The following is a 13478-nucleotide window of genomic DNA, read 5'->3' as shown; positions in this document are numbered from 1 at the left end:
AACAGCCCATGGAGGGATCTAGGTGCCCTTTCTGAGAATCTAATGCCTGATGATCTGAGGTGGAATAGTTTCATCCCAAAACCATCTGCCCCACCCCGTCCATGGAAAAATTGCCTTCCATGAAACCAGTCCCTGCTGCCAAAAAGATTGGGGGCCACACCTTAGATGATCAAGGTGTGAGTGTGTGGTTAAGCAAAATAAGCAATTGTGAATTTCAAGGGAAAGAGGAAGCAAATGGGTGATTTTGGCAAATAGAAGAATCATAATGAGGTCAGGCATGGTGGCTCACACCTGTAATCCCCACACTTTGGGAAGCCAAGGTGGGTGGATCACCTGAGGTCAGGAGTTCAAGACCAGCCTGGCCAACATGGCAAAACCCTGTCTCTACTAAAAAATACAAAAATACTATCCAAGAAGAAATTTCATAAAATAACCCATATTTCTCAGTATGATTCTTTTTTTTAATTTTTTTTTTGAGATGGAATCTCACTCTGCCACCCAGGCTGGGGTGCACTGACTATTCACAGGCTCTATCACAGAACACTACAGCTTTGAACTCCTGGCCTCCAGTGATCCTCTCACCTCAGCCTCTTGAGTAGCTGGGATGCTCCACAATACCTGACTTAATCAAATTTTTGATCTTTGCAAATCTTACAGGTGAAAAATATATTGGTGACATTTATATTTTTGTTTCTTTATGAATGAAGAGGAGCACGTTTTATATTCTTACAGCCCTATGCATCACTTCCTGTGTGTTATCTGTTCATGTCTTTTATCTTTTTTATTGAGATTTTAGTCGTTTTCTTGTTTATCTTATGAAAACTTTTTATGTTAGGGAAATTGGCCCTTTGTGATATGAGTTGTGAAAATTTATTTACCAGTATTCCACGTGTTATTTTGATGTTGTTTATTATCTTTTTGTAATGCAGATTTTTTAATGCAGTCAAATTTTTAATCTTTGTGTTTCTTTTTTTTTGTTTAGTGTTGTTTTGTTTTTCATCATGCTTAGAAATACCTTTCCTAGTCAGAGATTACACTTAAAAATTTTTCCCTTTATTACTTTAAATAGTTTTATGTTTTCATGTTTACATCAATTTTTCATCTGATTGAAATTTATCCTGGCACAAGATGAGAGATATGGAACCAATATTTTTCTTTTCCAGATGGCTATTCCTTTTCCTCCTATTGACTTGAAATGCCACCTTCATAATCTAGTAGTTCTCACGTTTTAGGAGCTATTGCTGGACTTAATCTACTCTGTTCCTTGATTCATCTACTATAATTATTGTAATTTTATAAAAGACTTTAATATCTGATAGGTCTAGTCCATCACTATTAGTCTTTTCCAGTTTGCTTCTCTGATTTTTAAAAATTTAACCAGATAAGTAAGCATTATTTTTAAATCTGTCTTTTCATATATTGTATAATATTAATTATTCAGGAATATACTTAAAATTTGACTGAGTTGGGAATGGACTACTCCTCTTTTAAATAGTTCATATTCACAGGTAAAATTACAGGCTAACTATTTCAAAAATATCAAGGACTTGTCATCCATCTAAAACTGGATTTGATACAGCCAACTTTTTGAGGAACACTATTTCCATTTAGATTGAAACAGTAATAGTAATATAGCATCCCTCAAAATTTGTTTTGCATGCATATTATTCATATTCTTCTATAACTATATGTTCATTTAATTACCTTAAAGCTTTTGGCTGGACAGAGTCTCACACATGTAATCCTAGCACTTTGAGAGGCCGAGCTGAGAGGATCACTTGAGCCCAGGAGTTCAAAATCAGCCTGGTCAACACAGCGAGATCATATCTCTACAAAAGAATAATTTAAAAATAAGCTGGGTGTGGTGGCACATGCTCATAGTCCCAGCTACTGGGGAGGCTGAGGTGAGAGGATCGCTTGAGCCCAGGAGTTTGAGGCTATAGTGAGTTGTGATTGTACCATGGTACTCCAGCCTCAGACAACAGAGCAAGACCCTGTCTCAAAAAATAAATAAGTAAAAAACTAAATAAAGCTTTTGAGACTGTTTTTCCATTTTCTTAATATTGCTTAAAGCAATATAAAAGAGTAGAATAATTTACTTCAAATGACTATCTAATGTTAGGCCTAACATACACCCAGTGATACTGCTCATTGTAAAATCTTGGGCAAGTCACTTCTGTGCTCCTCAGTTCCCTCATGTGTAAAATGAGGGGTGTTTAAATTTCCACAATTCTAAGAACTAAGAGAGAAGTTCTTTCAATCTATTGATTGCTGATATTCTCTCCAGGTCTCAGTTTCCATGTCTAGAAAAAAAGGGCCTTGTACTGAAATGATCTTGAATGTCTCTGGTGGCGTTATTTTCTTTCCTTTTTTTCTTTTTTTAGACAGAGTATTGCCCTCTCGCCCAGGCTGGAGAGCAGTAGTGCAAATCTGCACTCATAGCTGCCTCAGCTTCCCAGACTCAAGCACTCCTCCTGCCTCAGCCTGCCAGGTGGCTGGGACTATAGGCGTGAGCCACTACACCTGGCTAATTTTTTATTTTTTGTAGAGATGGAGTCTCAGTGTGTCGCCCAAGCTGCTCTCAAACTCCTAGCCTCAAGCGATCCTTCCTCTTTGGCCTCCCAAAGTGCTGGGATTATAGGCGTGAGTTGCCGCACCCAGCACTGGTGTTATTTTCAACATCCCAGCTCACATTGATGATTATGATTCTGGATGAGCAACTGCCTGATGGGTGGGAAGTCAAGTGCTAGGAAGAATGTTTGCTTGATTGTTCTTTTTATTCTGTGTTTTCCTCTTATGTTAATAATTCTCTCTTCTGGGCAGCCTCTTTTAGTGTCCTCTGAGTGGCAAGAATTACCTTCATCCAAACCAAAACTTAGGGCTAAAAGAAAAATGAAATTATCTAAGACAGAAATTTCTGAAGATTTTGAAGAGGATGGCTTAGGTGTACTACCAGCTTTCACATCAACTTTGGAACGTGGAGGTGTGGAAAAGCTATTGGATTTAAATTGGACAGAGTCATGTAAACCAACAGCAACTGAACCACTATATAAGAAAGTTAAGAAAGTCCACTGGAAACATCTACTTCTTTTTTTTTTTTTTTTTTTTTTTTTTTTTTTGAGACGGAGTCTCACTCTGTCACCCATGCTTCAGTACAGTGGTGCGATCTCGGCTCACTGCAAGCTCCGCCTCCCGGGTTCATGCCATTCTCCTGCCTCAGCCTCCTGAGTAGCTGGGACTGCAGGCACCCGCCACCACGCCCGGCTAATTTTTTGTATTTTTTGTAGAGATGGGGTTTCACCGTGTTAGCCAGGATGGTCTCGATCTCCTGACCTCGTGATCCGCCCGCCTCGGCCTCCCAAAGTGCTGGGATTACAGGCGTCAGCCACCGCGCCTGACCGGAAACATCTACTTCTAACTTTTTTTGTGTTTCTGCTCCAGCCTTTGGTTCCTCTCTTCCCCCGGCTGCCCGCTCTCACAGTCCTGCTTCCTTGCCTTTTGCCTCATATTGTCAGATAGCTAGTTTTGGTTTTGCTGCTCCTCCCAGACAGTTTGATGCATCTCAATTCAGCCAAGGCCCTGTGCCTGGCAGTTGTGCTGACTGTATCCCACAGTTGGCGTCTTGTCCCACAGGACCTCCCCAGAACCCCTCTTCTGCACCCTACTGTGGCATTGCTCTTTCAGGGAGCTCATTGAGCTCCACACAGTCTGCTCCACTGCAACCTGTTGGAGGCCGTACGACCAGGCCTTCTACTGGCACCTACCCTGAGCTGGATTCTCCCCAGCTTCATTTCTCTCTTCCTACAGACCCTGATCCCATCAGAGGTTTTGGGTCTTATCATCCCTCTGCTTCCTCTCCTTTTCATTTTCAGCTTTCCGCAGCCCCTTTGACTGCCAATAACCTCTGCCTTACCTGAGCCTCTTTACAGTCAGTCCTGGACTACCCCAGTAGATCTCTGTCTTCTGGACGAATCAGTAGGCAGTCTTGAAGGAAGTCAATGTCCTGACTATGGTTTTCAAAGTTGTTCTGAAACAGAAAGTCATGAGCTATGAGAAGTACTGCTTTTTACAAATAAAATGTGATACAACAGACAACAGTATCCCGTGCTTTCTGGAGGTAATAGAGGAGGATGAAACAGTGTGCACACAGCACTGGCAGGATGCTGTGCCTTGGACTGCACTCTTCAGTCTACAGAGAGAGGTATGTGTTTTATTTCTCCTTAAATCTGTGGTTAGCTGGCTTCATAGTTTAGAATGGGGCTCCTCAAAGCAGCTGGTCAAGGAACTGTCTATCGTCAGTCTGTAGTGAAGGAAGGGGCTTGTGCACTGGGGTGTAAATCATACTGCTTCACTCATTGAGGAACTCTTGCTACAAAACAAAACAGACAGCTGGATGAAACAGTGTGCTTGATGCTGGCTGGTGTTTCTCTACCAACATTAGACCAGAACCTCATGCTGGTGAATGTTTCTATTCCTCACATGAAAATGAAGATCTCTGAACAGATGATGGGGTGAGATCTTAATTTCCTAGATTCTAGAACTAATGGATTGTAATCCACATAAATTTCACACTGTGAAGTAGAGCACAAGCACTTGTACTTGTACTCTAAATATTTTCACATAAGGTCATGGGAATACAGATATTATTCAACGTGTATATTGTGTTAGAGCTTATCACTCCATTTGTTAAGCTAATAAACACCCTGTAGATTTGGCCCCTGCACTGGTACTAAGACCCAGTCCTGCATCTGTGATTACTTGGTTTGGTGTAAAGTAGTTTAGTGAAACGGAAAGGGCTTGATGCAGCATAAAAGTAAGCCTGAGTCCCAGCCAACTTTGTGATTGGGGCAAGTCAGGTAACCTTTCTGAGCCTCAGTTTCCTCATCCATATAGTGGAGATAATGATAGTGTCTACTTCACAGAGTGGGTTTGGGGTTTAAACAGGATAATCACAGCTGCCCAGTTTCCCTACTTGAGACAGTGCACCCAAAAGCCTGCTGGGAGCATACTGCAGATGGTCAAGAGTGTGGATCCCACAGCCACTCCTGGCTCTGCTGCTTGTTAGCTGTGAGACTTTAGACAATTACTTCACCTTTCTCTGCCTCCGTGTTCTCATCTGCAATGTGGGTGTGATAATAGTGCTCCACAGGAAGTGGCTAAACATATAAAAGAACAGCACCTGGTACCATTTCTCTATGGGATGGCACATATTATCACTGCTGTAATTTTTCAAATTATTGCCATAGGCCCTTAAACCTGTGCACCTGCCTAGGGCCACACCCTGCTTTCTGCTCCCTGTGTTGGTTTCCCTGGATTCTGTCTCCGTTGAGGTTAATATCCCCAAGCTCAGGCTTAGCACACTCTCCTCTGCATGTGATGAAGCAGGCAGATGTTGGGGGGGTGCAGGGAAGTTAGTTTTAAAGTCCGTGTTTAATATAACAATTTTATACTTAGAAAAAACTGTCATTTTCATGTTTCAGACTACATCAGGGTACATTTTTATGTTAAACAAAAGGAATCATGCTGGAGATCTACTGTACAATACAGGGCCTATGATTGACAATCCAATATGGTATACTTAAGCATTTGCTAAGAGGTCTATCTTATGTTAAGCACTTTTTCCACAAAAGGGAACAAAACAAAACAAAAGGGGTGGAAGAAAAGTTCTGGGAGTGGTGGCTAAGTTCATGGCATTGATGATTGATGGTTTGATGTTTTCACAGGTGTATACTTAACTCCAAGCACATCAAGTTGTATACATAAAATATTGGTGACTTTTTGTATGCCAGTCATATTTCAGTAAAGTGGGTTTTTTTTAAAGAGGGAATCATGCTATTTAAAAGTTTGAGAAATACCGGTTCAATGCTCATTGCTAGTTGATAATGCAGTAGGGTGACTATAGTTAACAAGACATTGTATACGTCAAAATGGCTAGAAGAAAATATTCGAAATATTGCCAACACAAATACATGATAAATGTTCAAGCTGATGGAGATCCTAAATACCCTGACCTGATTATTTCACATTCTATGCATGTATCAAAATATCATGTGAACCCCAAAATACGTACCAATAAAAAATGAAATAAAGCATTGCTAGAAGAAAAAAAGTACGATTTAAAAAAATCTCTACACATGAGTCTCTTTCCACACTTTTTATAAATGCCACCACATATGTAGTCTTCATAGCGTTTATGAGGTTCCAAACAATACTATGTCACTAGTGTATGAAGAACCTTATTTTACAGTAATAAAAATGTTAGAAATGCTGTAATTAACTGAAATTCAATACATGGAAACATATTTATCTCATAGCTTCTTTTTTCATTTAATTTGTTAAAATTTTATTTTAGATGCAGAGGTACATGTACAGGTTTATTACATGGGCATACTGTGTGTTGCTGAGGTTTGGGCTTCTAATTGTCTTGTTGCCCAAGTAGTGAAAATATGTTTTTCAAACCTTGCCCCTCTCCCTCCCCCACTACCTAACTTCTTATGTCATAAAATGTCAATAACATAACTTACCTTTGTTTTCTTAATTTTGTATGATGGCTTCTGAAAACTTACACCAGAACTGCAATTTATATTAAATCTTAATACAAATGCTTTGCACAGCTTAAACAAAAAGGCATTGAAATTGTAGGTAAGTCACTATGTTTCCATTTATTAAGTCATGATTTTCATTCATTCATAAGCATGCTCCTAATCGTTATAAACTATTATGTAAATGAGTTTACTAATGTAATAATTATGAAAGTTATATTTGAATGGAATTATATTTAACCATTAAAGGAAATGGGAGATCTGGTTCTAGTAATATTTTTGCCGCTAACTAGGGTATTGTTTGTGCACATTTATTAGCATAAATAGCACCAATTGCTGTAAAAAAGAAATCTCAGTAGCTTAACATAATCAAAGATTACTTTCTTGTCCATATCCCAGTCAAATATTGGTCAGGAAGAAAGTTCCACTTATGTGGTCATTTAGAGACCTTGACTCCTTCCATATTGTGGCTCCACCATCTTCAATAAATGTCTTTAAAATTATCCTGGTAAGAGAGAAGAACAAAGATTACCCTGGCATCATCCCCCTGCTAGACAAGAGGAAGAACACTAGTCACATAGCCCCATCCATATACGAAGGCCTGAGAAATGTACTGTTAAGCTGAGTGTCCAGGAGGAGAAAACAGCTCTGGTGAGCACCTAGCCAGCCTCTGCCAGAGGCAGTTTTTCAACCTCTGGACCTGTTTCCTTTCATGACAACAAGGAGATAGGTAAGGAAATCCTGAGCATCCTTGACCCGGCAAGTGGTTTGAAGGTCAAATGCTAGCCCTGGGACAGGAGCTGTTTGTTTGTTTGTTTGTTTTGAGACTAGGTCTGGATCCCTTGCCTAGGCTGGAATGCAGTGGTACTATCTCAGCTCACTGTAACCTCCACTTCCCAGGCTCAAGGGATCCTCCCACCTAAGCCTCCTGAGTAGCTGGGACTACAGGCACCTGCCACCATGCCTGACTAATTTTTGTATTTTTTGGTAGAGATGGGGTTTCGCCATGTTGCCCAGTGTGGTCCCGAAATTGTGAGCTCAAGCAATGTGCCCACCTTGGCCTCCCAAACTGTTGGGATTACAGGCATAAGCCACCATACTCAGCCTGGGGATTTTTTAAAATAAAATACACATTATTAAACAACTAGCCAATATTCATGAAAAGATAGAACAGCAGTGTCTCACTGGCCACCATCACTTCTAAAATGCTAGAATTTTTGTATTCCAGGCTGGGTGGGTGGGCAAATGCATAGCCTGTTTGACCTGCACTAGGCCAAAAAAGGGTGATGACAATTTACATGAAGAGTGAGTGCTTGATCCCGGAATAATAGAAGAGCCGCTATCGGACTAACTCTCCTGCCAATAACAGTTATTAACTTTGAATAAAATATTTAAAACCATTCTTTGAAAGCCAGGAGAATAATCAAAAACAGGCAGAAACTAGAGTGAAAATAATCTTTGAAAGAAAGGAAGCCAACTAGGTGGGCTCCACATTAATCCAGCTTGTCACCGAAAGGCATTTCTCAGCTCATGAGACACAGTGGGAGGTTTGAACTACAACAGAAAGTCTTAATGGGATGAGGACACGGGGTTGGAGTTTGAGGTTGCCAAAGTGGCTGGAAGTTAAGGATTAAAATCCTATAAAGGAGGGAACCACAGAGCAGGGAGCTCTGAAATCTGCATCCAAATATCCCTCAGATCCTTGGCTGTCTCCTAACCTCTACCTATATGGGGTGCAACCTCAAGGAATCCAGAAAAAAGTCACAGCTGGGAAGCTACAGAGCTAAGCAGAGATTTCAGCTGCTGCCTAGTACTGGCCAGAGTTTACAGTTCAAGTGGCACCAAATTAGAGAGACTTTATGAATATCTTTCCATTGAAACCATAAAAGGGTCATAAGGATCATATCTCATGATCAAGGACTATATCCCAGGACAAAGGGATAAACCAAAATAGACCCATCCTAATAAAGCCTAAAACAAAGCATACACAGGACCCACCAGAACAAAACTGAACACTCTTTAGAGTAAGAGAGCGTAGCTGGGAGTCTCTACAAGGTGTCATTTTTAATGGTCAGTATGGAATGAAAATTTGATAACATAAGAAGAAGCAAGACAATATGATTTGTGATCAAAGGGAAAATGGGCTATAAATGCTGACCCACAGATGACCCAGATATTAGAATTAGCAGACACAGACTTTAAAGCTGTTTTTAAAAATATAGTGAAGGATTGATTTACCAGAAAAGGATGGAATGGGTGAATAAATGGCAGAATCTCAGCAAATAGATGGAAACTATAAAGGAGAACCAAATGAAAATCCTAGAATTGGAAAATATAGTATCTGCAATGAAAAGGTCATTGAATGAGCTTAACAACAGAATGGACACAACAGGAAAGAAATCATTTAATTCAATTTACAATGTACTCAATAAACTTATCTAAACTGCAATACAGAAAGAAAAAAAATAGAATGAAAAAAGAGAAGAGCCAAGACTGTGGAATGATATCAAAAGGTTTAACATTTGTGTAACTAGGGTTTCAGAAAATGAAAGGGTAGACAGAAAAATATTTGAATATTTTTGTAAAATTGATCAAAGACAGCACCTTCCAGATCCAAGAAACTCAACAGAACTCCAAGCAGGATAAATTAAAAAAATGACCATATTTAGATAGGCCAGAGTCAAACTGTTGAAAACCAAAGATAAACTGGGAACAGTGGTTCACACCTGTAATGCCTGCACTGTGGGAGGCCAAAGGGGGCAGATCACTTTATATCAGGATTTCAAGACCAGCCTGGCCAACATGGTGAAACCCCATCTCTATAAAAATATAAAAATTAGCCAGGCATGGTGACATGCACCTATGGTCCCAGCTACTTGGGAGGCTGAGGTGGGATAATCACCTGAGCCCTGGGATGTTGTGGCTGCACTGAGCCATGATTGTGCCACTGCACTCCAGCCTAGGTGACAGAGTGAGATAAAAATTCAAGATAAATATATTGTCATGTGAGGCTAGAGCTCAGGGAAGAGGTCAGAATTGGAAAAGCCTGGAAGAATTCTCAATGTCAGTAGTATTTAAAGCCTGGCTCAGGATGAGGTCACCCAAAGAAAGAAGGTGGTCTGAGCAGAGCAGGTGCTAGGACCAGTCTGCTGCACAGCAGGGTTTAGTGTTCAGACTGGACAAGAAACATCAAAGACGCAGAGAAGAAGCAGCCTGAGAAACAAGAGGAAAACTGGAGAAAATTGAGTCACAGATGCAAGGGGATCAGATTTCATGAATGTACCTTTTCCACGGGCTTTTCCTGTGCTTCACTGTATTGCTCCCTATTATCCATGTTATTTTTCTGTAAGTGTGTGCTTTTCTGTCTTTCTTCCTCTACGTAGAGTCTCAAGCTGTCTGATTTTTTTCTCTGACTAGTTTTTTTATCTCTGTACCCAACTTTGTCTTTTATCCTCTTCTTCATTTCTCTTTTATCATCCCTTCTCCTTCTGCATTTGTTTTTTAAATAACACTGATACACATTAGGCACTTCATCAGTTTATTATTTATTATATTAGTCTTGGAGTTGTATGCTGCTATTATTAATATTGCTTAAAAATCAGTCTAACGTTTTGTAAATAATACCCCAAAAATAAGCCACAAAAGAATTCAGCAAATTAAACTGCTTTTGTCTCCATTGATTTTCTTTTGTGGGACAATGGATTAGTTTCTTATTTTGTTTTTAAAAATTTATTAAGTTCTTTTTCCTCCATTAAGAACACTATATTATTTAATAAAAGCCCTCTTATGAGCAGTTTTGGCTACCTCAGTGATGTAAAATTAATGGTGTATATGCAGATATGTGCATACTCTGCCAGGTCCTTTTGTCTTTACTCAAAAAAGGTAATTGTATATTCTTTTTTTTTTTTACATTTTTTATTATACTTTAAGTTTTAGGGTACATGTGCACAATGTGCAGGTTAGTTATATATGTATACATGTGCCATGCTGGTGTGCTGAACCATTAACTCGTCATTTAGCATTAGGTATATATCCTAATGCTATCCCTCCCCCCTGCTCCCACCCCACAACAGTCCCCAGAGTGTGATGTTCCCCTTCCTGTGTCCATGTGTTCTCATTGTTCAATTCTCATCTATGAGTGAGAACATGAGGTGTTTGGTTTTTTGTCCTTGCAGTAGTGTACTGAGAATGATGATTTCCAATTTCATCCATGTCCCTACAAAGGACATGAACTCATCATTTTTAAGGCTGCATAGTATTCCATGGTGTATATGTGCCACATTTTCTTAATCCAGTCTATCATTGTTGGACATTTTGGTTGGTTGCAAGTCTTTGCTATTGTGAACAGTGCCACAATAAACATACGTGTGCATGTGTCTTTATAGCAGCATGATTTATAGTCCTTTGGGTATATACCCAGTAATGGGATGGCTGGGTCAAATGGTATTTCTAGTTCTAGATTCCTGAGGAATCGCCACACTGACTTCCACAATGATTGAACTAGTTTACAGTCCCATCAACCGTGTAAAAGTGTTCCTATTTCTCCACATCCTCTCCAGCACCTGTTGTTTCCTGACTTTTTAATGATTGCCATTCTAACTGGTGTGAGATGGTATCTCATTTTGGTTTTGATTTGCATTTCTCTGATGGCCAGTGATGGTGAGCATTTTTTCATGTGTCTGTTGGCTGCCTAAATTTCTTCTTTTGAGAAGTGTCTGTTCATATCTTTTGCCCACTTTTTGATGGGGTTGTTTGTTTTTTTCTTGTAAATTTGTTTGAGATCATTATAGATTCTGCATATTAGCCCTTTGTCAGATGAGTCGGTTGCGAAAATTTTCTCCCATTCTGTAAGTTGCCTGTTCACTCTGATGGTAGTTTCTTTTGCTGTGCAGAAGCTCTTTAGCTTAATTAGATACTATTTGTCAATTTTGTCTTTTGTTGCCATTGCTTTTGGTGTTTTAGACATGAAGATCTTGCCCATGCCTATGTCCAGAATGGTAATGCCTACGTTTTCTTCTAGGGTTTTTATAGTTTTAAGTCTTTAATCCATCTTGAATTAATTTTTGTATAAGGTGTAAGGAAGGGATCCAGTTTCAGTTTTCTACATATGGCTAGTCAGTTTTCCCAGCATCATTTGTTAAATAGGGAATCCTTTCCCCATTGCTTGTTTTTCTCAGGTTTGTCAAAGATCAGATAGTTGTAGAAATGTGGCATTATTTCTGAGGGCTCCATTCTGTTCGATTGATCTATATCTCTGTTTTGGTACCAGTACCATCCTGTTTTGGTTACTGTAGGCTTGTAATATAGTTTTAATTCAGGTGGTGTGATGCCTCCAGCTTTGTTCTTTTGGCTTAGGATTGACTTGGCATGAGGGCTCTTTTTTGGCTCCATATGAACTTTAAAGTAGTTTTTTCCAATTCTATGAAGAAAGTCATTGGTAGCTTGATGGGGATGGCATTGAATCTATAAATTACCTTGGGCAGTATTGCCATTTTTATGATATTGATTCTTCCTACCCATGAGCATGGAATGTTCTTCCATTTGTTTGTATCCTCTTTTATTTCATCAAGCAGTAGTTTGTAGTTCTCCTTGAAGAGGTCCTTCATGTCCCTTGTAAGTTGGATTCCTAAGTATTTTATTCTCTTTGAAGCAATTGTGAATGGGAGTTCACTCATGATTTGGCTCTCTGTCTGTTATTGGTGTATAAGAATGCTTGATTTTTGTACATTGATTTTCTATCCTGAGATTTGCTGAAGTTGCTTATCAGCTTAAGGAGATTTTGGGCTGAGACAATGGGGTTTTCTAGATATACAATCATGTCGTCTGCAAACAGGGACAATTTGACTTCCTCTTTTCTTAATTCAATACGCTTTATTTCCTTCTCCTGCCTAATTGCCCTGGCCAGAACTTCCAACATTATGCTGAATAGGAGTGGTGAGAGAGGGTATCCCTGTCTTCTGCCAGTTTTCAAAGGCAATGCTTCCAGGTTTTGTCCATTCAGTATGATATTGGCTGTGGGTTTGTCTTAGATAGCTCTTATTATTTTGAGATATGTCCCATCAATACCTAATTTATTGAGAGTTTTTAGCATGAAGGGTTGTTGAATTTTTTCAAAGGTCTTTTCTGCATCTATTGATATAATCATGTGGTGTTTGTCTTTGGTTCTGTTTATATGCTGGATTACATTTATTGATTTGCATATATTGAACCAGCCTTCCATCCCAGGGAAGAAGCCCACTTGATCATGGTGGATAAACTTTTTCATGTGCTGATGGATTCGGTTTGCCAGTATTTTACTGAGGATTTCCGTGTCAATGTTCATCAAGGATATTGGTCTAAAATTCTCTTTTTTGGTTGTGTCTCTGCCCGGCTTTGGTATCAGGATGATGCTGGCCTCATAAAATGAGTTAGAAAGGATTCCCTCTTTTTCTATTGATTGGAATAGTTTCAGAAAGAATGGTACCAGTTCCTCCTTTTACCTCTGGTACAATTCGGCTGTGAATACATCTGGTCCTGGACTCTTTTTGGTTGGTAAGTTATTGATTATTGCCACAATTTCAAATCCTGTTATTGGTCTATTCAGAGATTCAACTTCTTCCTGGTTTAGTCTGCAGAGAGTGTATGTGCCCAGGAATTTATCCATTTCTTCTAGATTTTCTAGTTTATTTGCACAGAGGTGTTTGTAGTATTCTCTGATGGTAGTTTGTATTTCTGTGGGACTGGTGCTGATATCCCCTTTATCATTTTTTATCGCATCTATTTGATTCTTCTCTCTTTTCTTCTTTATTAGTCTTGCTAGAGGTCTATCAGTTTTGTTGATCCTTTCAAAAAACCAGCTCCTGGATTCAATAATTTTTTGAAGGGTTTTTTGTGTCTCTATTTCCTTCAGTTCTGCTCTGGTTTTAGTTATTTCTTGCCTTCTGCTAGATTAGAATG

General features: G+C 39.3%; 1 pseudogene; it reads left to right on the top strand.

The window, feature by feature from the left end:
* Positions 1-13478, top strand: part of PARP4P1 (poly(ADP-ribose) polymerase family member 4 pseudogene 1) — a 39988-nt pseudogene that overhangs the window by 16301 nt on the left and 10209 nt on the right.

Source organism: Homo sapiens, chromosome Y, assembly GCF_000001405.40.
Source record: "Homo sapiens chromosome Y, GRCh38.p14 Primary Assembly".
Taxonomy (NCBI): Eukaryota; Metazoa; Chordata; class Mammalia; order Primates; family Hominidae; genus Homo; species Homo sapiens.
Note: the sequence above shows the minus strand (reverse complement) of the source record. Positions and strands in the feature narration are given on the sequence as shown.